The sequence below is a fragment of the Homo sapiens genome, chromosome 14 (genome assembly GCF_000001405.40).
Source record: "Homo sapiens chromosome 14, GRCh38.p14 Primary Assembly".
Taxonomy (NCBI): domain Eukaryota; kingdom Metazoa; phylum Chordata; class Mammalia; order Primates; family Hominidae; genus Homo; species Homo sapiens.
The window spans coordinates 65,060,275-65,086,754 of NC_000014.9; the positions used below are offsets into that span (position 1 = coordinate 65,060,275).

A 26,480-nucleotide genomic window follows, 5' to 3' on the forward strand; every position below is an offset into this window, starting at 1 on the left:
ACAGGTACAAATACACTTTTTAAAAAGTTTGAGACCAGGTGTGGTGGCTCACACCTGTAACCCCAGCACTTTGGGAGGCCGAGGCGGGTGGATCACCTGAGGTCAGGAGTTCGAGACCAGCCGGACCAACATGGTGAAACCCTGTCTCTACTAAAAATACAAAAATAATCCCAGCACTTTGGGAGGCCGAGGCGGGCGGATCACGAGGTCAGGAGATCGAGACCATCCCGGCTAAAACGGTGAAACCCCGTCTCTACTAAAAATACAAAAAATTAGCCGGGCGTAGTGGCGGGCGCCTGTAGTCCCAGCTACTTGGGAGGCTGAGGCAGGAGAATGGCGTGAACCCGGGAGGCGGAGCTTGCAGTGAGCCGAGATCCCGCCACTGCACTCCAGCCTGGGCGACAGAGCGAGAGACTCCGTCTCAAAAAAAAAAAAAAAAAATACAAAAATTACCCAGGCGTGGTGGCTCACACCTGTAATCCCAGCTACTCAGGAGGCTGAGGCAGGAGAATTGCTTGAACACAGGAGGCAGAGGTTGCAGTGAGCTAAGATCGTGTCAATGCACTCCAGCCTGGGCAACAGAGCAAGACTCTCTCAAAAAAAAAAAAAAAAAAAAAAAAACAGTTTGAGATAGTATTGTACATACTGTTTTCTCACATAATATGTTGTAAGTATTTGCCTGTATCGTTAAATATTTAAATGCGTGTTTATAATGGCTGTATATTAACCTGTGTCCCATGTACTAGATAGTTTTAGCAAATACACCATTTTTGAACCTTTGGGCTTTGTGTGTATCTCTGATTCCTTATACTAAATTCTTAGAAGTGCCTTTCATGGAGCAAAGGATGTGTTATGTTTTCAAGGACCACCGGGGTGATTAACTGGCACCTTTTCTTCTCTTTGCAGCAGCCCACTCACCCAGTGTACAACATTGGACCAGACAAGGTGATCCAGGCCACTACATACTTTCTACAGAAGCCAGTCCCAGGTTTTGAGGAGCTTAAGGATGAGACATCGGCAGAGCCTGCAACCGACTAGAGGACCTGGGTCCCGGCAGCTCTTTGCTCACCCATCTCCCCAGTCAGACAAGGTTTATACGTTTCAATACATACTGCATTCTGTGCTACACAAGCCTTAGCCTCAGTGGAGCTGTGGTTCTCTTGGTACTTTCTTGTCAAACAAAACCAATGGCTCTGGGTTTGGAGAACACAGTGGCTGGTTTTAAAAATTCTTTCCACACCTGTCAAACCAAAAATCTATCAGCCCACGTGGTGTGGTTGGTGAACAGTGCATGCCAGGAGGAAGCAGTCCCTCCTCACCAGCTCTCCAGCCAGGACGATCACACAGAGATGAATGGCATCTGAGTATTACGGCATCCAGAGCCACTGCTGACTCCCACTTGCACGCCACCATTCAGTCACCAGACTGGGTGCCCTCCGATGGGTGGAATAAGTCTGCTTCATGCCAAGGCTGGGCTTTGGGTCCCACCAAGATGAGTTCTCTGTAAGACTGTGGTGGAGTTGCACCAGGAGGTGCCTCTGCCTCTCGACTTGCACCCTGGTCATTTGTAAGGGAAAAGAGCTGGAGGTGGGGAGAGAAAGATCTCCTTCAGTTGGGAGTCCTTCCACTTCAACACTGGAGAACTGAGCCTTGCATCTCTCCAGGGTCCAAGGCCACGCTTGGTGCACAGGCAAGACTTGCTTCAGCCCCAGGTGTGGTGACTTAGACCTAGGAAACCAATTATGAGTGGAAAGTGACCCTCTAGTTCAACTGTGCCAGAGGAAACAGCCCTCCAGTGCCCACCTGCCTCACTCCTCCCTATCATGTACCGTGAAAACCCCCTCTGATGGCCTCAAGGCAGTGCCTGCAGGCCGAGGCCCTTCTGGGGGTTTCTATCTTTCTTCCACCAGACTCCAAGCCCACTCTCCTCCAAGACTGTGTTGTCTTTTCTCACCAAGAGTATTAACACTACTAAGTCTTTCACCTTAACTTATGACTCAGGATTTATTCACGTCCTGCCCACTCTAGGCTCACAGGAATAAAATCAAGTGCTAGACACACTGGCTGCTACTAAGGCACTAGCCTCTGTAGCTGGTGGTGGCAGCGTGGGGTGCCGCCCAGCGTGCTGGGTCCTGGCAGTGCCTCTGCTGTGCTGCACATTGAGCCCTTTCTCAGTCAGTGGAGTATCAAGTTGGGCCATCTGTCTACTGACCTGGCCTTCATGTAAGCAGCTGTGGGCTGCGGGCAGACAGGAGCTCAGAGATGCAGCATGAGGCGCTTAGAAAAACCTGGCCATTTGCTGCCTCTAATTCCCTTTTGCTTTGCCATATTGGGCTATGTATTACCTCCTTGAAATAATAAAAGAATAACATTTTCTATGATGTCTCTTATTTGTGATCTGTACCAAGAAAATGCCCAATGGTAGGAGCTACTAAAGGTTGCTCAGGGATCGTCAGTCTCCTGTGTGCAGGATTCCAGACTGTTCACATCGGTGGTGACAGAGGAATGACCGAGTTCCATCCTCACATGCCGTCTCCTCCAGTAGAGGAAGCCGTGGGCCTAACAGAGAGTGGGAAGAGATGTTTTCCAAGCTCCCTGGGGTAATTCGGTATGCTATGTCCCAGCCCTCCACACACTGCACTTCATGGTCTGTCTCCGACAGACAGCAAGGACTGGGCCTAGTAGCCCCAGAGCAGGCTGACTTAGCAAGGGTGGGTGGATGTCTGGCCAGAGGCAGGGGCTGTCACAGGGACAGGCTGGAACTCTGTGGCCACTTGGCTTTCCCTTCCTCTGGCGAGAGACCCTCTCCCATGGGAGGCCAAGAACATGGATGTCCTGTGGCCTGACCCTCTTGGAGGGGAGAGAAGATGGTGTCCTTAGAGGGCACCCAAATCCATGTAAATAAGCCAAATGCACATCCAGGAATGTAATTCCTGCCCCCTGTGCTATTTTTGCCCTGTTAACAAAGGTTTGCACTGCAAGGCAACATATTGAAATGCATCCTTTCCATCACTATAACAAAAGGCAAAATCCTCTCAGCACTCGGAGCCTCAAGGTATTGTGAGATTAATTGCAGTAATAATTAATGTGGTTAATAGAAGGGATTGCTTCAGTCTGAACTGGCTTTTTACCAAGAAGGAGGGATCTGAGTTGGGCCCCAAAGGGTAGGTAAAGTTAGTCTGGGTAGAGAAGAGAAAGGGTTATTTCAGGAGAGTTTACACTGGCATATCCATGAGACATCCTTTTCCAGAGGGTTTCCTGACAGCCCTCAAGGTGAGTCCTAGAGATTTGTCTATTCACTCATTTGAGATAGGATCTTGCTCAAATGCACCCAGGCTGGAGTGCAGTGGCACAATCATGGCTCACTGCAGCCTCGACCTCCTGGGCTCAGAAGATCTTCCTGCCTTAGCCTCCCAAGTAGCTAGGACCACAGGTGCACACCACCACAGCTAGCTAATTTTTGTATTTTTTATAGAAATGGGGTTTCACCACGTTGCCCAAGCTGGTCTCGAGCTCCTGGGCTCAAGCAATCTTCCTGCCTCAGCCTCCCAAAGTGCTGAGATTACGGGTGTGAGCCACCGCACCTTTGGAGAGATTTATTATGTGACTCCTTGAGTAGAAGACATTTATGTAGCATTCAAGGTGGATGACCCCAAATACTTTCTCCCATCAATAAACACAAAACTAATACAGATCTCTGTATCCAGGTGGGCTCCAGTTTCACCCTTAGGCCCACCTTGAACACCAGATAAGTTGGGAAGCCTGCCAGACCCTACAGGGAGCGGAGCATAAAGAGAACCTCATGGATAATCAGGGGAAACACCCCTGAGATAATAATACCAGTAAACAATAGTTCCACACTGCTCTCCCTTCTTGGTATTATTGAGCATTCTTCCATACCTTTCATGACTGGGATGCTTTTCATGTAATATTAGTGTCAAGTGACAAATAGTAAGGATTGGACCAAGCATTCTAGTTGCCCACATGCACTGCTTGGTGGCATTTACTGCCTTTGAATAGGAAGGAAAGTATAATATGATTTAAGACACCATTGCAACTGGTAGAAAACTTGACCCAAACTGGCTTTTGAAGCAAAAGAGGCAATCTGTTGACTCAAACTGCAGAGTCCAGGAATTAGGCTGGTCCTATTAGGTTCCTCACCCTCCCTCCATCTTTCTACATTAGCCTCAATCTCAGGCTCTCCATGGGGTTGTAAAATGGCAGCACCAATAGCTCCAGACCCTACATCCTGTTGGGGTCAGGTTCAGCAGACAGGCACACTTGGTTCCACCCCAGCCTTCCTTCCAGCGAGTATCATTGTGTTTCACTGGCTTTAATCAAACCAAGTGCCTTTCCAAGAAGCAGTCCAATGGCTTGGAGAATACAGTGCACCAATTGGCCAAAGTCTTGGTCACATGCCTCTCCCTTGAGAGGGAAATGAGGCTTCATTAGAAGCACGTAGTTTTTGGGAACGGGGAAGGAACAAAGCTCCAAATGCAAATTAGGATTGTTGCCAAAGGGGTAAATGGATGCTAGAGAGGCAAATGGCCATTGCTCTCAAACAGTGATTACTGGGATAGAAGCCTGTAGGGACACTGTTGGCATCCATGCCACTCCTCCCCACCTGTGGCAGCCAAAAGGTTTGCCAGGGCTTGATGCCCTCCTACCTCCAGGCCCAGGCCCTGACTGGCTAAGCCAATAATTTTCATTTATCTCTCTTTGCCCCAGTAATTTGTTCAGGTTGGGAGTAACTCAGGCTTAAGTCAGTCAGCATGATTTGTCCTTGCCCCAGTGATCAATTCAGAGCACAAGCATGTGACCTAAAATAGTCTAAAGAGAGAGACGTCGTGGACACTGTATGACGGGGAAAAGCAGCTCTTTCCTATTAGGGGATGGTAGAATGTGTGGCCTGGGCCTCCTATAACCATTTTTCTACCTAGAAGGAAACCAGCGTGAGAAGCCAGCACACACATATGCTCTGAGACTGAGAAACATGGCCCTGATCACATGGCTCCCGAGGCCCACGTGGCCTCTGGATTTTCAGTTATATGAGACAATGTGAGTTGGACTTACTATTACCTGCAACTGAAAGCAACCTAATACAGTCATGTCACTTAATGACGAGGATACACCCTGAGAAAAGCAGTCAGGTGATCTCGTCGTTGTGTGAACATCATGGAGTGCACTTACACAGACCTAGATGGCCTACCCTACCGCACACCTAGGCTAGATGGGGTAGCCTGTTGCTCCTAGGCTACAAACCTGTGCAGCTTGTCACCGTACTGGATACTGTAGGCAACTGGAACACAGTGGTAAGTATTTGTGAATCTAAACATGGAAAAGGTACAGTAAAAATACAGTATTATGATCTCACGGGACCACTGTCGTACATGCATTCTGTTGTTAACCAAAACATGATGTGGCGTGACTATATACAAAACTCTACCACCAATTAGCCCCAAGACCAAGGCTTTACCTGCTGCTTAAAAAGTGCTGACCACTCTTGCCTCATCTGCCCAAACAATAACCCCTAAGACAGTCCCTCCTGTTCTACCGCCTCTCATTTGATCCTTGACTCACCTTGTAAGGTGGGTGAAGCAGGCGTATTACCTGCCTTTTACAACTGGAGAAACAGGTTGGAGAGCTTACGTAAATCACCCAAGGTTTCCCAGCTGTCAAGTGGTGGTGCCTGAGCCCGAGCCCGTATCTGCTGCCTCCAAAGCCCATGCCCTTCCACCACCGCAGGCCTCTGAAGGAAGGTGAGAGGTCTCGGGGAATAGGGGGCACTGGTGAAACATGCTTGGTTTACCTCTAGGCTGGATGGCTGAGGCCCTGAATACCAGCTGCCATCTGTCACTAGGTCAGGGATGGTGACAGCAAATAGGGCAGGCCCCTCACCCTTCTAATGAGGTCTCCACTTGCCACCAAGTGTGTGGCCACACCAGTGCAGTGTGATGCCGTGTGGCTCAGTGAGGCCGTGATGAGTCCGTCTTCCCAGGAGCTGACCTGACAGCAGCCAGCTTTCTCCAACCTGGCCCAGGCACATCTAACAGGTTCCTGCACATCCTCACACTTTCCTGCAGTAACCCTCCTTGCCTCTGTTTTCCACCAGCTGGGGAACTGGGGCCAGGTGGCCTCACGTTCCTCCCTCCCGCTTCTCTGGCACATCCAAGAACAAAACCAGGCAGGGCAGGGACAGGGCGCTCATCATTAGCCCAGCTTAATGGAAACTTTCCCTTGCCCTCTGCTCCCCCTGAGGAAATACAGCGCTTACAAAATAACAATAAGAAAAATGCATGGCCGGGTGTGGTGGCTCACGCCTGTAATCCCAACACTTTGGGAGGCCAAGACAGGCAGATCACCTAAGGTTGGGAGTTCATGACCAGCCTGACCAACATGGAGAAACCCCGTCTCTACTAAAAATACAAAATTAGCCGCGCATGGTGGTGCATACCTGTAATCCTAGCTACTCGGGAGGCTTAGAGGCTTAGGTAGGAGAATCGCTTGAACCCAGGAGGCAGAGGTTGTGGTGAGCTGAGATTGCACCCTTGCACTCCAGCCTTGGCAACAAGAGTGAAATTCCATCTCAAAAAAAAAAAAAAAAACAATGTATTTTTTAGTTCGGGTGTGATGGCTCATGACTGTAATCCCAACACTTTGGGAGGCCAAGGCTGGAAGATCACTTGAACTCAGGAGTTTGAGACCAGCCTGAGCGACATAGCCACACTCTGTCTCTACAAAAATTAAAAAAAAAAAAAAAAATTAGTCGGATGCGGTGGCACACACCTGTGCTCACAGCTACTTGGGAGGCTAAGATGGGGGGTCACTTGAGCCTGAGAAGTAAAGGCTGCAGTAAGCCATGATTATGCCACTGTACTCCAGCCTGGATGACACAGCAAGACCCTGTCTTAAAAAAAAAAAAAAAGCATTTTAAAAAATAAACATTTTGGAATAGTTTGAGATTGACAGAAAAATTGCAAAGATAGTACACAGAGTTCCCACAGACCCATTAGTCAGTTTTCCCTATTAACATCTTCCACTAATAGGTGGCATTTGCCATAATGAATGAACCAATTTTGATACATTACTAAAGAAAGTCCATACCTTATTTGAATTCCCCTAGTTTTTACCTAATGGCCTTTTTCTGTCCCAAGATCCCACCCAGGACACTACATTACACTGAGCTGTCATGTCTCATGTCTCCTTAGACTCCTCTTGGTTTTGACGGTTTCTCATTCTTTCCTTGTTTTTGATGACTTTGACAGTTTTGAAAAGTATGGCCAGGTATTTTGTAGAACATCCCTCAGGTGGGATTTGTTTGATGTTATCCTTATGACTAGATGGGTTTATGTTTTTTTTTTTTTTTCCAAGAGACAGTGTCTTGCTCTGTCGCCCAGGCTAGAGTACAGTGGATCATGGCTCACTGCAGCCTCAACCTCCTGGGCTCAAGCAATCCTCCTGGTCAGCTTCCTGAGTAGGTGGGACCACAGGCACACACCACCATGTGCAGCTAATTACATTTTTTTTTTTTTTTTTTTGGTAGAGGCAGGCTCTTGCTATGTTGCCCAGGCTGGTCTTGAACTGCTAGACTTAAGCAATCATCCTCCCTTGGCCTCCCAAAGTGCTATGATTACAGGCATGAGCCACCGTGCCCAGACCATGCGTAACAGTTTTTTGGAGGAAGGCCACAGAGGTAAAGTACCATTCTCATCACACATCAAGGATACATACTATCAACCTGCTTCATCATGTTTATGCTGATGTTACCCTTCATCGCCTGGCTGAGGTAGTTTGTCAGGTTCCTCCATAAGGTTACTTTTTGTCCCTTTCTTGAATGTGTCCTTTAGAAGGTAGCTACTATATGCAGTCCACGCTTAAGAAGTGGGGAGGTGGCTCACGCCTGTAATCCCAGCACTTTGGCAGGCTGAGGCAGGTGGATCACTTGAGGTCAGGAGTTCGAGACCAGCCTGGCCAACATGATGAAACCCCATAGCAACTAAAAACACAAAAATTAGCCTGGTGTGGTGGCATACACCTGTAATCTCAGCTACTCGAGAAGCTGAGGCAGGAGAATCGCTTGAACCTGGGAGGCAGAGGTTGCAGTGAGCTGAGATTGTGCCACTGCACTCCAACCTGGGCGACAGCGTGAGACTCTGTCTCAAAACAACAAACAGAAGTGGGGAGTTATGCTCCATATGTTTGAAGGCAGAGCACCTGCATAAACTACCCGGAATTCTACATGGGAGATGTTTATTCTCAATTTATTCAACCATTTCTTTCACTATGGACTCGTTTATTTTATACTTCATATTATGTTCCAATGCTACATTATTTATTTTGTTGCTCAAATTGTTGCAGTTTTGGCCTTTGGGAGCTTTCTCAGTGGGCTCCTTTGTCTGTTTAACAGACCCCACACTTTCTTACTTTCAATAATAGTGCATTTTTATCATCCCTTTTCTTTCAACGAGTACTGCATGTTGATAATTGTTCACACTATGTAATGGGTACATTTGGGTTCAGTATACTATTCTCTCAACCCTTGATCACACAGTCTTTCCATAAGTATTGCATGTTGGTTACCCCGAGTGTGAGACTTCATTGCTACCTTCTGTACCCATGATGGCCTGGGCTGATGGGACAAAGGAGGCAAGGGGAGGCTGGGCCCTCAGCTACCAGACCAGGGCAGGGTTCAATGTCACAGCTCTGTCAAGGGAGAAGGGCTGCAAGGGTGCTGCTCCCAGGTGTGCTGAACAGAGAGGTAGCCAGGTAAGGCAGATGCCGATGGTGATGACGTAAGTGCTAGGTGTCCATGCTCCTTGCGAGGCTCCATCCCCCCAGCCCCTCTCCTCACTCTCTGGAGCAGTGGCTGCCATGTGCCTGGATACCAAGGGACCAGTGAAAGTGGTGGAATAGAATCGTGACCCAACCTGTGCAGAGCAGATGGCTCTGGCCCACCCTCCCTTCACCAACAGCCCCCCACCCCCAGCCTGTCTGGACAGCTAGATGGGGAGCCCAAGGCTGGGCTCTTGTGGGCAGGACAGAAGGAGAGCCCATCAAGAGCTTGAGAAGCGATGACCTGGTGGCCCTGCCCCTCCCATAGTGCCAAACCGCTCTCACTGAGGGCCCATCTCCTGAACTCCTCTGGCATTCAGAGCCCAGACGTGCATTTGTGCTAAATGCCTAACCTCATCTCTAAGCTTCTTCAAGGCAAGGCCCAGCCTTTATAAGCTGCCTAGATTGCCCCAGTAGCCAGCACAATGCTGGGCTGAGGCTACGTGCTGCTCAAATACCCGAGGGTTGAACTCACGCAGAGGCAACCCTGGAACCGCCCTATCAAGGGCACAGAGATGAAGGTACATCACAAGGCTGGAGTCCACTGGCACACGCACATATGCATGCAGCATTTGTAGAGTACCCACCACAAGCCAAGCACAGTGCTAGGAGTCCAGTAACAAGTGCACAGACCAGCCACTGACTCTGTGGGGGCTCCCAGTTGGAAATACTTGCTCACCACCACTCTCTGCACAGAGGTCCCTGGATGGGAAACATGGTCAAGTTGTTGGAAACAGGGTCCTTCCTCTCCAAAGTCTCCTACAGCCTTGCTGCAGTAGGTATTCGCTGTGGACATGACATTCCTCCTCTTAGCTGGCTGGTCTTGTTGTGGCCTTTTGGCCCAAAGCTGTTGGCCACTGTCCTTTAGCCCAAGATCTGCCCCTGCCACCCCAGAGCTGTTGATGGCACCAGCAGACAGGAAACAATGAAGCTCTCAAGCACTGTGCATGGGAGCCATGGGCTGCCGGGCTGCCAGGCTGCCAGCCGGATTCCGGATGAGTGACTGGGGGTGCATGCCCATTGGGTTATTTTTTGAATCAGACTTTGCATGGCTCATTCCATACTCCTGGGTTCCTGCAGAAGTAGGCTTTCTGGAGAGAAGGCACACCTCCCTCTATCAGTCTACAGGCTGTCAGGCTTGTTTTTCTTGATAGGAGGCTTAATCCTTCACCATGTTCAGCACTGGAGTAGAAGGTTTGGGCTCAGATTTCTTAATATTGGATCCTTGATTTTTCTTCTTCTTCTTCTCTAGCCTTTAATTTACTGGAAAAAATTAATAGCAGAGACCGTGCTACATAATTTTGCCCAGAGCAGGCTGTGGGTATACAAGAGCCCCACCCTGCAAAGGACAGCAAAGGAAAACAATCCTAAATGGGGCCTGGCAGTCACAACAGGCCTGCTGGGGCAGCTGGCATCTAGCACAGGGCGCAGGAGGGGACCTGCTCGGCTGGTTGTGAATTGTCCAAGGCCACCTGCTCGGCATTCTTCTAGACACGCCCATCCTGCTGGGTGTGTTGTGTGTGCGAGCGTGCACATGGGATCCAGAGTGAGCTAGAGCATGCGGGCCCCTCGGCCCAGTCATGAGGCTCATCTGCTCCACCTCACCCACCAGGCAGATTCTGCTCAAGGGGTCCCTGAAGGGGAAGGCTGAAAAACGATGGCTGACCACTGTCATAACCAGCCCTGGGCAAGAAACACGGGGCAGACACCAGATGCACTTGCAGTATCTGCACCTGGCACAGTGCCTGCCACCCGGCACTGCAGAAATGCAAACTGAAACTGGAATGAAGAACAGGGCAAAGTCGCCAGTATGTTAATGGTTAATGGCTCTGAGCCAGCCTGCAAGGGTATATTTCATTCCTCAACTCCTTTTTTTTCTCCAAAAGGTAACAGATTTGTGGTCTTGCTCAAGTTCTTTCAGAAAACATGCAAATTTTTACTGCCTTTTAGCATTCAACATACATTTACCTCCCCTTTCAAGGATTTTAATATACTAAACTCTTATTACATCAGCGAAAAGGAGAGTTTATTCACTCCACATTTTTTTTTTTCTGAGAAGGAGTCTTGCTGTGTCACCCAGGCTGGAGTGCAGTGGCGTGATCTTGGCTCACTGCAACCTCTGCCTCCTGGGTTCAAGCGATTCTCCTGCCTCAGTCTCCCGAGTAGCTGGGACCACAGGCATGCAACACTATGCTCGGCTAATTTTTTTGTATTTTTAGTAGAGACGGGGTTTCACCACATTGACCAGGCTGGTCTCAAACTCCTGACCTCAAGTGATCCGCCCACCTTGGCTTCCCAAAGTGCTGATATTACAGGTGTGAGCCTCTGCGCCCAGCTTCATTCCACATTTTAACAAAACTAAAAAATGGCTGCACTACCCAGGACATCTGATGGCAGACACATCTAAGATTTGACAGTATTTATTGAGTATTAAATGCCAGGAACAATTCATGGGCTTCTCACACTCCTTTAAGCCTCACAATGGCACTTGGTGCTATTATTGTCCTCACATAATGGCACAGGAAGCCAGAGCAATGTCACCCCAAAGGTAAGGGTTGTAGCTGGCATGGCAGTCCAGACAGGCGGGCTCAGAGCCCCTAGCCCTACCCGCTCTGGCAGTCATTCTGAAGCTCCCTGGGCTCCTTCCCAACACCGACCCCAATGAAACACCAAGCAAGGACAACACTTACCAGCAGGGTGATAAGGGTTTGCCAGGAGAGCCTCCAAAACCCATGCACAGGCCTGCCTGGTGCAGTCACCCAGTCCTACCTATAGTTAAGCCTGGCTTAGCCAAATTGGTTTTCTCCCTGAGGAAGTTAACTAGAAACTATTTTTTATTCCCTTCCCAAGGGAACTTTGGGGATGTATGAGTTAGCCGCTGCCCTAGTAAACCCTAGACACTGAAGGAAATTCTCTATTCGCTATCTAGCAGTGTAGACATTGACAAACTCTTTTTTCCTACCTGGGTTTCCTCTTCAGGCTAGAGAAACAGTTTTGAAGAAAGGAATGCTCTAGTTTCATGTTCCCAGAGGCTTTTGAGAATGCATCCTGGTGACCAGGCCTGAGAGAGACCCTTGCTCTGGCTGGATTATAAAACCTGCCTGGGGACCAGAGGCCAGCCTAGGCATGCTACAGAAATGAGTGCTGCCCCATGTCATTACCCCTGCTTGGGGCTTCTAAAGGGGCTAGTGTAGGCAGCCCTCAGCTTTCTTCCTTCTCAAGTTTAAAAACTGGGTAGCTCAGCCAGCCCCCTAGAGCATTGGAGGCATGCTGGGAGCACGTAGACTCATCAAGGCAGCTCTAAGGGTTGAACTATTTAACAAGCCCGCCTCCCCCACCTTCATCCTGACCTCAGAACCACTTCGCTAATTCAGCTCAGCTGTGCCTAACTTCCCCAACAGCGTCCTTTTGGTTCCCCGGGTTATATTACTGTTGGGAGTCAAACCTGAGTGACTTGAGGACCACCTGAAAGAGCTTGTTAAACTGACTGGTGAGCCACGGCACACTTTAGATTAGAGGGGTTAGAGCCCAGGAATCCTTTTAACAAGCAGCCCTGGGCATGATCCAAGGATCCCACTTTGAGTAACACCACATGGGGCTTCTGAGCAGTTCTGCCTGGGCCTCCAAAAGTGTCCAAACCTGAGAGATGCCACTGAATCGTGGTGGGAGGGAATGGGCAGAGCCTCACTCGAGTTGACACCAGATCTAATTAATGTACCCACAGGGGCTGCTTTAGTCTCGAAGAGTTTGTCAGTCCAGTCCTGGTGTCACCTTGCTCTCTTTAGTCACTGTGCCTGGTAAGGATGGGGCACATCTCTGAGGAGTGGGAAGCATTTGTGATATACCAAGAAGTCAACCCTTACTCACTTTAGGAAAGGTGTCTGGGAGCTGGCTTTTTCCACCTTGCTGAGTCAGCCCTGGTTACATGCTTTGTGTAGATAATGACAGCAGAGGCACCTCAGTGCTTGCTTGGTCCTGAGGTCAAGCACATTATAAGCATTATCTCATTTAAGCCTCATAACCATCTCATGAGGCTAGTGCTATTATTATCCTCATTTTATAGATAAAGATGCTGAGGCTGGGAGAAGTAACACAGCCACCGAGTGGCAGAGACAGGACTGTGAACCCAGCCAGTCTGCTTTCAGAGGCCAAGCATAAAACACACATGATACTATCAGAAACAGAATTCTGCTTACTTCAGTCCCAGTTCAGGGCTCTGGCTCCTATTGTCTACTCAGTCTTGTTTTTTAAACCTGTCTCAGCTAAGATGACAGCTCTGTGAGCTTAGATTCTTTACCTAAGAAGTTGTTGATGTTTTACAATGGGGTTAGCGTATCAAGAACTTTAAAAACTGGGCCATTTTAAATACCCTTGCACTTGGGGCAACTGTAAAGGTAGGGAAATAGCACGCTTAACAGACTCCTCAGTGAAGCCACCTGCCACAGTGACCAAGCAAATCTACAGCTTATCTGGTTTTGTGTAAGTGAGTGTCCAGAGTAATATAAAAAATAAACCAGAGATTACCATTACTGTGAGAGAGTAAGCTATGGTCCGACTTTGGTATCCTGAGGGAATACTCACACTCGCTTCCTAGACACACATACCAGAAGGGGCTTGCTTGGCTGTGACTTTGACTTGGCCTTTTCAGCTGAGCAGTTTCCAGGCGGAGCTCCCCTGCCCTGTGTTCCTGCCCAGGAAGCTGCTTCCAGTGGTACCTCCACCCTGTGCCAAAGTCCGCTCACCATGTCAATCAGGTGGTTTGGATTTTCCTAGGTGAACCAGCCACCTAGCCACTGTGCCCCTTGTCTGAACTGGTTTACTGAAATCTAGAGAAGCCTAAACTCAATCCTTTGTCCAGCCAATACACTGGAGCCAGGGACTGGCTCTCAGGGACACCACCTGTCCTCATGCTGGCTTGACTGCCCCTTCCTGTTTGCTATCTCCCTACTGGGTGCCAGCTTCACATGCCTTCCATCTCTGCATCAACATGGCTTCACCCACAGCTCACTTCTAACACCAATACTAAGCAAACCAACTGTATACTTAAGCCCAGATATACAAAGAGATATAGTTAAGGGCAATGAAAAAGAGGAAAGCATGTTAACCTTGAGGGCTTTAGGCAATAAGCTGATTCTCATTTCCATTTCTTCCTTACTGCAGTTTCTTTCCTCTATCTTGAAAAGAAGTGCCTTTATAAATGGGATCTTGCTTTCCCAGCATTTTTCTTTTCCTTAATGTAATCATGGCCTTTGGAGGCTTGATCATGTTTCAAATTGACAAGACCCATCTGCCCCAGCTCCCATTAAACAAAAAAAGATATTACGGATTTGACATACAATTGATAGGAGCCACAGTGCTCTCCACCACTCTAAAGATGGTGACAAATCCAAGAACTGATTTGACTTGACTTCCTCTCTGGGTCTAGGAACAGCAGTATTTCCTGTCAGCCAGACAGGAAAACCAACACTGAGCTGCGTTCTGGCCATAATTCCTTTTTCTTCCAAGGTCAAACAAGTTCAGGCTGGTGTTGGGTCCCAGTCTGAGTAGAGCTAACTCGGTGCAGTTGGAGCCTTCTTGACTTCCAGTCCTTGGCAGCTCTGCTGCCTCCTCTTAATAAACTGGAACTATCTAGAAACTGAAAGGTCCTGGAGAACAGCCACCTCTGAACTGGGCACTCATTACCAGGAGAACCTGAACCACAGCTCTGGGCTACCAATTCCCCCAAAGGTCACTTGCTTAGCAGAAACTAGATCTAGAAATGTTGCCACAGCTAAGGCTACATCCCTGTTGAACCTCAAAAGCCTCATCCAATGAACAAAGCCATCACCACCCATTTACTCTCTCAGGCTGAGCTGAGAAAGGGGAAGCAACTCTGGCTTATGGCTGCTCCTGGTTCTGCAAGACCGGGTAAGCCACCTCCACTTCTCACTCAGACTTACATTGAGGCCCTAACAGCTTCCAGAGGGGTCTCTCATCAACCACCTTGGCCTTAACAAGGGTAAGAAGACACCACCACCAAGAAGGATAAAATAAGTTTTTATTTATAGTCTTATAGTAAAGGGGGAAGCCTTAACTTGCAAGACAATTCTTCGGCAGTATGTACAACATACTTTTTATTTCCATGGAATGGAATCAAACACGAACTGAGACTACAGAGTATACACTAGAAATCAGCAAATGCCAGGAACGGAGTAGGAAAAAGACAAAGAAATGAGGCCTAAACACACAAAACCCTTCACTGGCATCTGCTGACCACAGCCAGAACCAGGGCTGGATCACACAATGGAGACAGGTTCCAGGACAGTAGGAAAGGAAGTGGGATGAGGGCTGGGAAGGGTCCGCACTGGGGTGCGGGTTTAGTACCAGGTAAATTGCTCTTGGTATTTACATACAAAATCAGTTGGCTCTATTTCTTAGAAATACACACGGGAAGAAAGAAAGATTTCATCATTACTTTATGAATCTGTCGCTTTGCAAGACCGACATCATCAGAAATAGGTACAATTCACTCAGATTCAAATTTAAGTAGCAGGAAATAAATATCAAAACATCATCACTGGCCCTCAATACAAAACCTCTATGCCACCCAAAACACCCTCCCTGTCCCAACCCCAAATGGCCACTCCCTGGTGGCTGCTGCTTCACTGCTGCCATCTCCCATACATACCACGAGAGTGTCACACGGCCCTCCGTGAGGCTGGCGCCGCAGGCTTAAACAGCTGGCTGAGAGAAGCAGGAGTGAAACATGCCAGCGACTCTGTGCTGCGAATCTGTCCCCACTTCCTTTTTATACCACAAACTTCTCTAAGGATCTGGTCTTTCAATAGGAGCGATACATAGCTTTTTAGAAAAAGGAAAAAAAAAAAACCCTTAAAAAGGAGGAGGGTTCATTCTGATTACTCCAAACCGGTCATCTTCTCAAAGTAGAGCAGTTCAGATTCACAAAGTCTATCAGAGGTGAGGGCGGGCCAGGAGGCCACCTGGGCAGGGCAGGCGTCCCCCGGGCATGTGCCCGGCAGGGCTGGAGGAGCTGGTAGGGTGGGCAGGACACTATGTGCTCAGAGGTCCGGCCGGCCGTCTGTCCTCCACAGAAAAAGCTGCCAAGTTGGGGTGTTTTGGTTTAAAAATTCCTGTTGGGGACAGGGAATCCCTGAAGGGAATACATTAAAAAATATACAGTGGAAATGGGGAAGGAGAACGAGAGCTGTTGTCCAAGAGCTTCTACGTAAAAATAAAAATTTAAAAAAAAAAGGGAGAAAGAGAAAAATAAAGAGTCTCTTAAATGGTTCTGAGGGCTCTACCAACGAACTGAAAGGAGGATGAGACGATGGAGACAGACAGTTTTTATTGCTGGCCTGCCCCGAGTGGCTTAGCTGGCCTCCATCCGGAGCTTCTTCCTGCTTTGGGGCTCTTCAGGCTCAGACTCCGAGCTGGAGTCCGAGCCCCCATCGAAGGCAGAGATGGTGCTGCCCTTGGCGTTGGTGTAGAGGCTGTTGTCTGAGGAGGGGTAGTTGGTCTGCAGTTGGGCACTTGACCTCGCCTTCTCCAGTGCACGGACTAAAAGGCAACCAAGGGAGTGTGTTACTGCCTTCTGGAGACTTGGGGAGTAACCGAGTCTCAGACTCAGGGTCCAGCCTGTTCTTCCTAAGGGCTTGCTTGTTGGCCCCCGAGGCTCAAGATGCTCAGAAGTAGCTCCCTTCGGGTGGCTGTTCACTCACACACTTCATTTCCCTCCCGCCTTTCCCAGCTGGACCTGGGAGCCAGCAGACACTCTGCAATCCCACCCAACTCTGAAGAGAAGGCTTGTGATGTCACCGTCCTGCCGTGGAAGCCCCGTGGAGAGACTGGAGCGTGAGCTCCCTGTGGGATTCAGCAGTGCAATAACAGAGGAGAAGCTGGCCCAGGAGCATGAGGCTCCACAAGGTGTGAGGCCACACAACAGCAGGAAAGGATGACATAAGACGTATCAGCCAAAGAACAGTTTTGGCTTAGCTCTCGTGTACAAGATCCACTTGGAATGACAAGCTGGACACTTGGAAGCAAGTCACCAATACACATAAAATACCTGGGCTTTTCAAATAGCCCCTACATGCAGGCTGCCTGGCCCAGTAACCAACCCACTGACACCACCCACTGCCCATCCCTTGGTTCAGCTCAGCTTGAGCCTGGAAGGTCAACCCATTTAATTTATTTTATTTTATTTTATTTGAGGTTTTCTAACCCAGGTGGTTACTTGCATTTCCTTTTACTTGCATCTTCCATGAGGGAGGAAGAGAAGTGAATTCCCCAGGAACAAAGAACTTGATCAGCTCTCGCTTTCCCCTGTGGTTGTAGGAAAAGGCGGGTGTGAGCATTGAGAACAGCATGGGCCTAGCCCATAGGCTGCCCTGATTGGACTACCATTGACAATGGGGAGGGCTCACTGTCCCTGAACACCTGGAGTCTCTGGTACTTACACAGCACATTCCACTCCAAGGACCTCAAAGCTCTTTTCAGACACCTGATGCCAGGTGTGATCCCTACTGCAGGCAGAGCACCTGAGCCCCAAGAAGGGGAGAGGTCAGGCCAGAAAAGATACAAGTCTCCAGATGTCCAACTTCCTAGCTTCCACTGTCTCCTCACTGGCGCCTCAGGTCCTTCCTCAGGACGGCTCTAACACTCAGTTACTCAGGCCCCAAGAAGCAGGACCAAGCCTGCTACTGAGCACATACTCCATGACTGGCTCTGACTCTGCAGGCCCAGGTGCCAAAGCCTGACCTGGCTGGAGCACAGCAGGGCCAGCTGCCCCACGAGCTCGGGTGCTCACCTTGCTGCTCCAGAAGAGCATTCTGCCGCTTGAGGTCGTCAATATCTTGCTGGTGTGTGTGGTTTTTCCTTCGCATATACTGGATATATTCTGTGGCTTTGTCTAGGATTTGGGCCCGGGATGCCTGTGGCAATATGAGAAAAAGCACAGGGGACAAAATAAAAACCCAATCCAGGCAGTGAGGGAACCTGGCCTGCAGCAACTGCTTGGGTGGCTGGAAACGAGAGGGTAAGGTGGGAAAAGGCTGAAGAAATACAATAATGGCTACTGTAGGCTTTATTTATTTATTTATTTTTTTATTTTTTTGAGACAGAGTTTCGCTCTTGTTGCCCAAGCTGGAGTGCAACAGCGTGATCTTGGCTGACAGCAACCTCCGCCTCCTGGGTTCAAGTGATTCTCCTGCCTCAGCCTCCTGAGTAGCTAGGATTATAGGTGTGCGCCACCACGCCCATCTAATTTTTTTGTATTTTTAGTAGAAATGCGGTTTCACCATGTTAGCCAGGCTGGTCTCAAACTCCTGGCCTCAGGTGATCTGCCCACCTTGGCCTCCCAAAATGCTGGGATTATAGGTCACAGGTGTGAGCCACTGCGCCCAGCCTGTTGTTGTTGTTGTTGTTGTTGTTTTTTTTTTTTTGGAGACGTAGTCTCGCTCTGTTGCCCAGGCTGGAGTAGAGTGGTGTGATCTCAGCTCACTGCAACCTCCACCTCCCAGGTTCAAGTGATTCTTCTGCCTCAGCCTCCAGAGTAGCTGGGATTACAAGTACATGCCACGTTGCCTGGCTAATTTTTACATTTTTAATAAAGATGGGGTTTCACCATGTTGGCCAGACTGGTCTCAAACTCCTCACCTCAGGTGATCCACCTACCTCGGCCTCCCAAACTGCTGGGATTACAGGCGTGAGCCACTGCATCCGTGAAGGCCTTCTTTGTGACATACAAGGTGCCAAGTGCTTTACAGAGCTTAACTCACAAGATTAGTCTCAGAGGTAGCTCTACTAAGAACCCAAGGATCAGAGAAGTACACCGCTTTATTCAAAATCACCAGCTGCACAGTAGCATGGCCTGGCTTTAAACTCAGAGCCATCCGACTCCTGAACTGTACTCCTCCCATCTCCTCTGGTTCTTTAGGTTGCTTTAAAGTCTTTAGCTTGGCTATGTCTGGAAACATTAAAATACTACTTAAATGAAAGCTTTAGGTCACTAATTCTGCTAGGGCCTGGCTTGAGACAGGAATGGGTACAATGTGTTTCATCAAGACCCAAGATTCCAGCCAAACTCTGAAACCACTGTTAACTATTCCGAACTGAACAATGCTGCTGTGTCACTACTTCAGCCTTCCTGGCTAAAGAGACTTTCATAAAAAGCTGTCGGTGCTTGATGTCAACACAGGAAGAGCATGAGATTGGGCCATTTCAGGAAACAACCACACCTCTACAATGGCTGTGGGTTGCCTGGGTACTGCCTTGCTAGAGTAAGTTCGTAAGTCAATAACATGGATGTCATGTTACTGTGCCCCTAGACATCAAACTTGTCTGGGAGATTCTCTCCAGGCTACAAACATAGTCAGAGTTACTTATGGCCAGGCAGCCAGCCAAACTGGTAGAATAGTACAAAGCCAAGCGAAGCTCAAGGCGGGGTAGCCTAGTAGCTTAAGTATGGCCTTCCAGCCAGAGACTCCTGAGCAGCCGGAAAGCTTCTTACTCAGGGTAGGGAGTGCTTGACAATTCTGTATTACAAGCCCAATGGGTCCTAAACAACCAGAACACAACAGCGGGAGAAAGACAAAGAAAACATGTACACCGTGGCTAGCAAAACCAGATCTACTCATATTAAATCCTAACAATCTCAATTTATAGGCCTCAGTTTGGGCTGAGTTTCAGAAAGGTTTGTAAGGCCCGTGCTTATTCATAAGTCCTCACAAGTACTAGAATTTCCAGGCTTTCCTCTTTAGCACCCTTAAGGTAATTTCCTCAAGGAAATTGTTCATAATCAACCATTTTTATCAGGTGCAAATTACGTACAAGATACTAGGCAGATACTGTGGGGAAACAAAATGTATTAGTCATGGCTTCTTTGCCCCAAAGCTTACTTACTATCTAGTTGAGGAGATAAATATGTCTATACATGGAAATATCACAGGGCAGTGCTGACAAGCGTAACCTGACTAGCAGAGACTAGAGACACCACGGGAAAGATGGCTTCTGGCTGGGGTGATTACCTACTGTGTGCTACGCATTGGCCTTGGTGCTGCATGTGTGCATGCAACACGCTCCTATCTGAAATGGTGAGCCCTGTGTTAGACCAAGGTGGCGTTTGGAATAGCACAGTCAAGATGGGATGGGGAAAAAGTGAGATGCGTTTCTTTAGTTGAGTCAGTCAGCTTATGCAGAAGGAATGAGAGTTCCTAGCCTAGCAATGGATACTTCAGACACTGTTTCCCATTTCTACAAAGGGACCTTATTAGGGTTTATTAGGTGACAAAATGGGGTGGAAAAAAGGAGCACATAATTAGAAGGGACTAATTAAAATACCTTCCTCTCTGGATACTGGAGATGGAATGAAAAATGATTAGTATTGATAAGAGGTGGTAGAGTGGCAAGGAAGAATTTGGGAATTAGAGGACAGAGGAGTGCTCTGCATGCTTGTCATTAATGGGTTCTGTAGCTGCAGACACATTTCTCACCTTGCCTATTCCTCATCTGACTAGAAATTCTCTAAGACCCCATCTAGCCCTCCAAAGTCTACCCTTTCCATCACTGATGTAATTTACATCCCTCTATTTAAATTTGCCTATGTAAAAGCTATTTTTTCAACTAATAGTTCCCAGAAGGCAACATTAGCTCTTAACTACCCATGTGCATCCGGGACAAGGGAAAAAATGCACAATCTCTGAAACCAGAGAGCACTTGCAAATGTTCAGTGATAACTTTTAATGAATGACCAGACTGAGTAACAGCCTTTTTGCTACCAGTTTCTCCTTCAAATATTTATACATGAAACCAGGGAATTAGGATCAAGAAGTGAAAAGTGAGCAGTAAGCACAGCAAAACAAGCCAGAAGAGAGAAAAAGATCTGTGAGGGATGGCAGTTTCCATTTCAGGGTAATTTTTGGATGAAGATAAAATTCATAGATGTTCAGAACATAGTGTCTTGGGAACAACAGGAGTCCAAAGAAGGCTGGATTGGTTTAAACTCAGAACGAGGCCTTCAGAATGCTAAGCACAGCCCTTCCTCCATCCTCTGCTGAAAGCAGAAGTGCCCCTGGTCACTTAGGGTGCCCTGATCCCTCAGCAAGTCCAAAAGAATGGTTCAGAGTTAACTTTATTTTACTCTTCCCAGGGTACCCAACAAGAATTAAGGCCCAACAAGAAAAAAATTTAAAGCACAAAATACAGAAATACCCCAAATTTGCATGTGCATGTAGTCCAGGAAAGAAAAAGCAAAAGGCTGAAGCTAAAAATGCTAGACTCACCTGCAATCCTCCCCTCCCATCTTTCCACTCCATACAAGATCATGTGGCCAAACACAGGATGAAGGTGGGGGCAGGGCCTTCCTTGTCTTTATGAGTTTATAATATGTGACCAGCAAACACGAAACCAGCAAGAAACCCTGGGATTTATGGCATGGACTATGGAATAACCCTGGACTTTCAGTTTCTGTTTTCTGAAAATTGCTCTAAGTCAGCTGAGTCAACTGCCTATCTTCATGTGAGTGTGACTGATCAGATAGAACTTGGTAAGTCAACATGTCCACAGAGCAAGTGCTGCCTTGGGTACTCAGTAAAAGCCTGAAAATTTTTTTCCTGATAGTTTTTATAATTAGCAGAATCATAATTTTGAGTCTGTCTTTGTGAACAGAAATGGCTCTTTAAATGGCTTGGATGGAGCCCTGAGACAGGGTGGATGGTGGCTGAAGGGACTGAAGAGGTAGCCAGGCCTCCCATGTAGCCATGTAAGCAAACGCAAAGGGCTCAGCAGGCCTCTCTCTCACCTCTGGGAGCCACACAAAGGGATACTGGGCAGCCTTGCGAGATCTTGCTCCAAAGCCATGGCTGCACATAGCAACACAAGTGACAATGATGATGGGGGTGGTAACAATGGCAGCACTAACACTTACTGAGTACTTACTAAGTGTCAGGCATCCTCACACAACCTTCTGATGTTTTCCCTATTTTATAAATGAGGAAACCGAGACACAGAGCTGTAATTTACCCAATGTTATGTAAACTAATAGGAAGTTGAGTCAGGATTTGAATCCAAGCCTCCAGGACACTCATACTTTGGGAACACAGGGGAAGCTATGGAACTAATTTAAAAAGATCAATAGAATTGCAGGGACACTGTTGTCATGGAGGGGAAAGTTGGAGGAGGAAAAGGACTACGAAAGTCACCTGATTTGCCTACAAGGACGTCAAATGGAAGACCCTAGTGAAGGTGGTTTTCTTGGAGGAGTGACAGCCGAAGCCCAATGGTAAATTGTCTCTGCACCGGTAACAGGCATAAGAATTGAGTTGCAAGTGAGGCAATGATGAAGACTAGTCTTCAGAATTTGGTTGAAAAGTAAGAAGTAGGCCAGGTGCAGTGGCTCATGCCTGTAATCCCAGCACCCTGGGAGGCTGAGGTGGGAGGATCACTAGGGCTCAGGTGTTGGGGACCAGCCTAGAAAACACAGCAAGACACTTGGGCTCTATAAAAAAATCAAAAGATTAGCTGGGCATGGTGGTACACGAATGTGGTCCCAGCTACTTGGGAGGCAAAGGTGGGAGGATCTCTTGAGCCCATGGGGCTGAAGCTGCAGTGAGACAGGCTTGTGCCAACACACTCCAGCCTGAAAAAAAAGAGTGAGACCCTGTATAAAAAAAAAAAAGTGAAAAATGGTAGTTTGTAATAGCAGGATAGCAGCATTGAAGGAAGGTTATTTTTCTTTCTATTTTAAAGACAGGTGAGAACTAAACAGGCTTCTAGCAGAAACACATTGAAAGGAAAAGCCTCAAGATGCAAGCGAGCTTGAGAGAACTGACCTAACCATCTGGTCTGGAGGGCAGAAGTGGAAGGTTAGGTGGGGGATGTCAGCTTCCCACAGTACACTGCTGGCTTCATTACCTCTTGGCAGCCCAGAAGGATAAAAGCAAAATGAATAATGTAGAAGGGACCCAGGGTGTGGCAGAGGGTCTGCCAGGTTCCTGTCCCTCCTACTGTTTATGCTGCAGCTACGTGTCCATTTGCATTCCCTCCCAAGGCAGTAAGCAGACAGAGGGAAGGCCAACCCTCTCAAGCAGAGGCACCCACTGTCAGACCTCTGCTTTTGAACAGCATCCACCCACCCCACACATCACAGCAAGAACTGACTACATATGTCACAAAAGGCCTCAGACCCAAAAGACTTGGATTCTAAATAGAACCGTTTAAGGCCCCAAATGACTCCTGAAGTTGTTAGCACTGATGCTTCAGACGAAGTCCAAGGTTATTAAATCTCATTTAAAGCAATGGTTCTCAAAAATTTTCAATGTAAGGCAAGAGTTCCAAATATTTCTGGAGTTATAAATTTTATCACAGTAACTTGGATTTCTGTAAAACTTCAAGTTGTTTTAGAAAGTGGGTGGGGAGAGGTGAGGAAAAGAATAGTAGTGCTAGATTGTTAACATTAGGAACACCACTGCCCTTCCCTAGGGTCCCAATGCTGACGTGAGAAACAATAATCTTAACTCTACTGAACACTTTTCCTCTTCAGTGCCCAAAACAGATGCCAGTGGGCTGATGTTACAGCTGTCTTGTTCCCCTAAGAACCAAAATGCCATATCTGGAGGGATGAAAAAAGAGGTACTGCTGGACTCAACAACTGACATCTGTTTTATTTTGTACTAGTTATTTTAGAGAAAATGAAACCATTTATTTTCTGAAACCTGTGTAAGCTTTTACACATATGAAGGTAAAGGGAGGGCCCAGGGCTAAACTGGTGTACATTTCCATGTGAATAAGCCATCTTTTGAAAACCAAAACGAAAGAATATGCACAATAAATTTGGATCCACATTAAACTAGTTCATTCAAAAATGGAACCCCATCAATGCCAGCAAAGGAGGCTGGAAGGTTGTAAGGCCAGAGTCAGCACAGACCCATGGCTCCTTGAAGGCTTCCTGCTGCCAGGGCCTCCCCAGCCACAGGACCATTTTGCTGATTACCAGGGTAAGGCAGAGCTATCAGCCCTCAAGCAGCTTAATTAAAGCCAGGAGTAAGACATTTGTGTAAGGGGTCAAAACAATCATTTTTTAAATCTTGCATTCTTTTTTCTTGTGCACTTGGTAGCTTGAAATGAAGGTGTGGCATTTCTGCATCAAACTTTGACGATGAAGGACAGGAGTACACAATTTCCAAAAGAGGAAATAGAGCTAGTAAATAAACATGTGGAAAAGCAATTAATTTCACAAGTAATAAATAGAATACAAAATTACTAACTTTTGTTTACTGAATTAGTTACCCTCTTCCAAAAAAAAAAATTCCAGTGATAATGAAACTGGTACTCTCAAAACACTACCAAAAGACTACTCTTTAGAATTTGCTTGAAAAAAAGAAAGAAATGGAAGAAAGAGGATATAAAAACAATCCTCTTGGAAAGCATTTTGGCAACACACGGAAAAAGGTCAGATGCTCGCACCCCTCAACCCAGAAATCCAACTTCTTGGAGTCTATGGAAATGGCTACATATACAGAGATGTCCATATTATAATTATAAATTTTAAATTTTAAAAATTGAATGCAACCCCAATTGCCCAAAAGAAACATGCCTAATGACTAAACATGAGCACACTGTATGACCTAGCGAAAAAATATATTATGTAAAAGCAGCAAGCTATAAATAGTACTTTCCCTGTGGGGAGCATGTAGATGAAGAGACCAGGAAGGAATACACAAATTGATAACACTATATTTCCTTGCTTGTTAGACTCCATCAATAAATCCATGGATTGAACAATAGCAGCTTTTGGGGAGAAAAAAAGGAGGCAGGTTTCTTTTCACATCCACTTTAAGATGATGTCTAATTTTAGTCACATTAAATGGGGCAGGGGGGGTACGGAGAGTCTATTTTTGGATTATACTATCTGATCTGATAGTCACTAGCCACATGTGGCTAATAAACACTTGAAATGTGAGTACTCTGAATTGAGATGTGCTGTTAAGTTGAATTTAAAGACTTGGTGAATAAATAATTTTAAATATATTGATTACATGTTGAGATCATACTTACTTTTGAATATTAGGCTAAATAAATTATATTATTCAAATTTTCACCTGTTTAACTTTTTAATTGGTTCTACTCGAAAATTTAATTGTATTTAAGTTATATTTAAAATGCAATTGTGACTCATGCTAAATTTCTGTTGGGCAGCATTTGTCATAGCCAAAGGGAAGGCTGTAGTTGTGTTAGAGGAAGGAGGGATTCATGTTTTTTCTTCTTCCCATTTTTCTAAAGTTTTTGCAATTTTGTTGGAGAAAACAAAAATGCTAAAGGCAAGGCCTAGTAATCAATCTCTATCCTTCCGAATCTCAAGATGCGAAAAATGTTAGGTGAAGAGCTCTCTAGTACTCTTGGGGGAGTGAGACCTCTCTCATTCTGTATGACAGTCTCCCAGAAGGAATAATTAGATTTCTGCCCTACAGGAGCATACCATTTAATTAGGTGATAAGTTAATCACAGAAATTAGGGAGACTGAGGAGAGGTCCCACAAAAGGCCACAGAGGTTCAAGGGAGAGTTCTAAGGGAGGGGCAGTATTTGATATTGGCCTCTAAGGCAAGGAGCTGGAGACTGAGGGAAGGGGGGAACTCAGGAAATAGAGGACAGGCTGCAGGTAGGCCTTGTGAGCAGGGCTCATCAATATGGAACCCCCAAGTCACCTGGGCAGTGTGGCTGGGGTTGGACCTTGAGAAAAGCAAAGCACTCAGATAAGCTGAGAATGAAATTCCTGGGCAAACAGAAGAGGGGTTGATATGGTTTGGCTGTGTCCCTACCCAAATCTCATCTTGAATTTAACTCCCACAATTCCCATGTGTCGGGGGAGGAACCTAGTGAGCAGTAATTGAATCATGGGGGTTGGTCTTTCCCATGTTGTTCTTGTGATAGGGAATAAATTTCGTGAGAGCTGATGGTTTTAAAAACAGCAGTTTCCCTGCACAAGTTCTCTTCGCCTGCTGCCATCCATGTAAAACGTGACTTGCTTCTCCTTGCCTTCCACCATGATTGTGAGGCCTCCCCAGCCATATGTAACTGTAAGTCATTAAACCTCTTTCTTTTGTAAATTGCCCAGTCTCAGGTATGTCTTTATCAGCAGCATGAAAATGGACTAAATGCAGTAAATTGGTACCAGTAGAGTAGGGCACTGCTGAAAAGATACCTGAAAATGTGGAAGCAACTTTGGAACTAGGTAACAGGCAGAGGTTGGAACAATTTGAAGGGCTCAGAAGAAGACAGAAAAATGTGGGAAAGTTTCAAACTTCCTAAGGACTTGTTGAATGGCTTTGCCCAAAATGCTGATAATGATATGGACAATAAAGTCCAGGCTGAGGTGGTCTCAGATGGAGATGAGGAACTTGTTGAGAACTAGAGCAAAGGTGACTCCTGTTACGTTTCAGCAAAGAGATTGGCAGCATTTTGCCCCTACGCTAGAGATAAGTGGAACTTTGAACTTCACAGAGATGATTTAGGGTATCTGGAGGAAGAAATTTCTAAGCAGCAAAGCATTCAAGAGGTGACTTGGGTGCTGTAAAAGGCATTCAGTTTTATAAGAGAAGCAGAGCATAAAAGTTCAGAAAATTTGTAGCCTGACAATGTGATAGAAAAGAAAATC

The 26,480-nt window shown here is 47.0% G+C and overlaps 3 protein-coding genes across 44 annotated transcripts in view, besides 1 other annotated feature; 2 read left to right on the top strand and 1 right to left on the bottom strand.

Moving 5' to 3' along the window:
- FNTB (farnesyltransferase, CAAX box, subunit beta) overlaps positions 1–2,376 on the top strand; it is a 75,756-nt gene extending 73,380 nt beyond the window's left edge. Inside the window, exon 12 of the mRNA NM_002028.4 lies at positions 907–2,376. Coding sequence (NP_002019.1) covers positions 907–1,038 — 132 coding nt within the window. The 3' untranslated portion in view covers positions 1,039–2,376. The remainder of the gene's footprint in view (positions 1–906) is intronic.
- The window catches only part of CHURC1-FNTB (CHURC1-FNTB readthrough), a 148,295-nt gene extending 145,914 nt beyond the window's left edge, over positions 1–2,381 (top strand). Inside the window, exon 14 of one of the 2 annotated variants that reach the window (NM_001202559.1) lies at positions 907–2,381. In NM_001202559.1, coding sequence (NP_001189488.1) covers positions 907–1,038 — 132 coding nt within the window. In that variant the 3' untranslated portion in view covers positions 1,039–2,381. The remainder of the gene's footprint in view (positions 1–906) is intronic. The other variant, NM_001202558.2, reaches the window with a different exon arrangement.
- MAX (MYC associated factor X) overlaps positions 1–26,480 on the bottom strand; it is a 96,595-nt gene that overhangs the window by 54,174 nt on the left and 15,941 nt on the right. For 8 of the 41 annotated variants that reach the window (NR_073138.2, NR_176283.1, NR_176277.1 and 5 more), the window contains one exon: positions 23,470–24,025. The exons of 2 other annotated variants lie outside the window; for them this stretch is intronic. Coding sequence is in view for 28 of the 39 variants with exons in the window: in NM_001407113.1 (NP_001394042.1) it covers positions 23,906–24,025 (120 nt within the window). In the remaining 11 variants the exon portion in view is untranslated. Of the gene's footprint in view, positions 1–14,849; positions 16,390–17,018; positions 17,370–17,638; positions 17,763–23,469; positions 24,026–26,480 lie in introns of those variants that run through there. 31 more of the 41 variants (NR_176282.1, NR_176275.1, NR_176279.1 and 28 more) reach the window with 7 other exon arrangements.
- Positions 17,129–18,104: an enhancer, noted in NCBI's record as "H3K27ac-H3K4me1 hESC enhancer chr14:65544121-65545096 (GRCh37/hg19 assembly coordinates)". NCBI's record gives its function as "activates a minimal SCP1, AML or CMV promoter by ChIP-STARR-seq in naive H9 embryonic stem cells {active_cell/tissue: H9 hESC(naive)}" and the evidence as "EXISTENCE:reporter gene assay evidence [ECO:0000049][PMID:30033119]".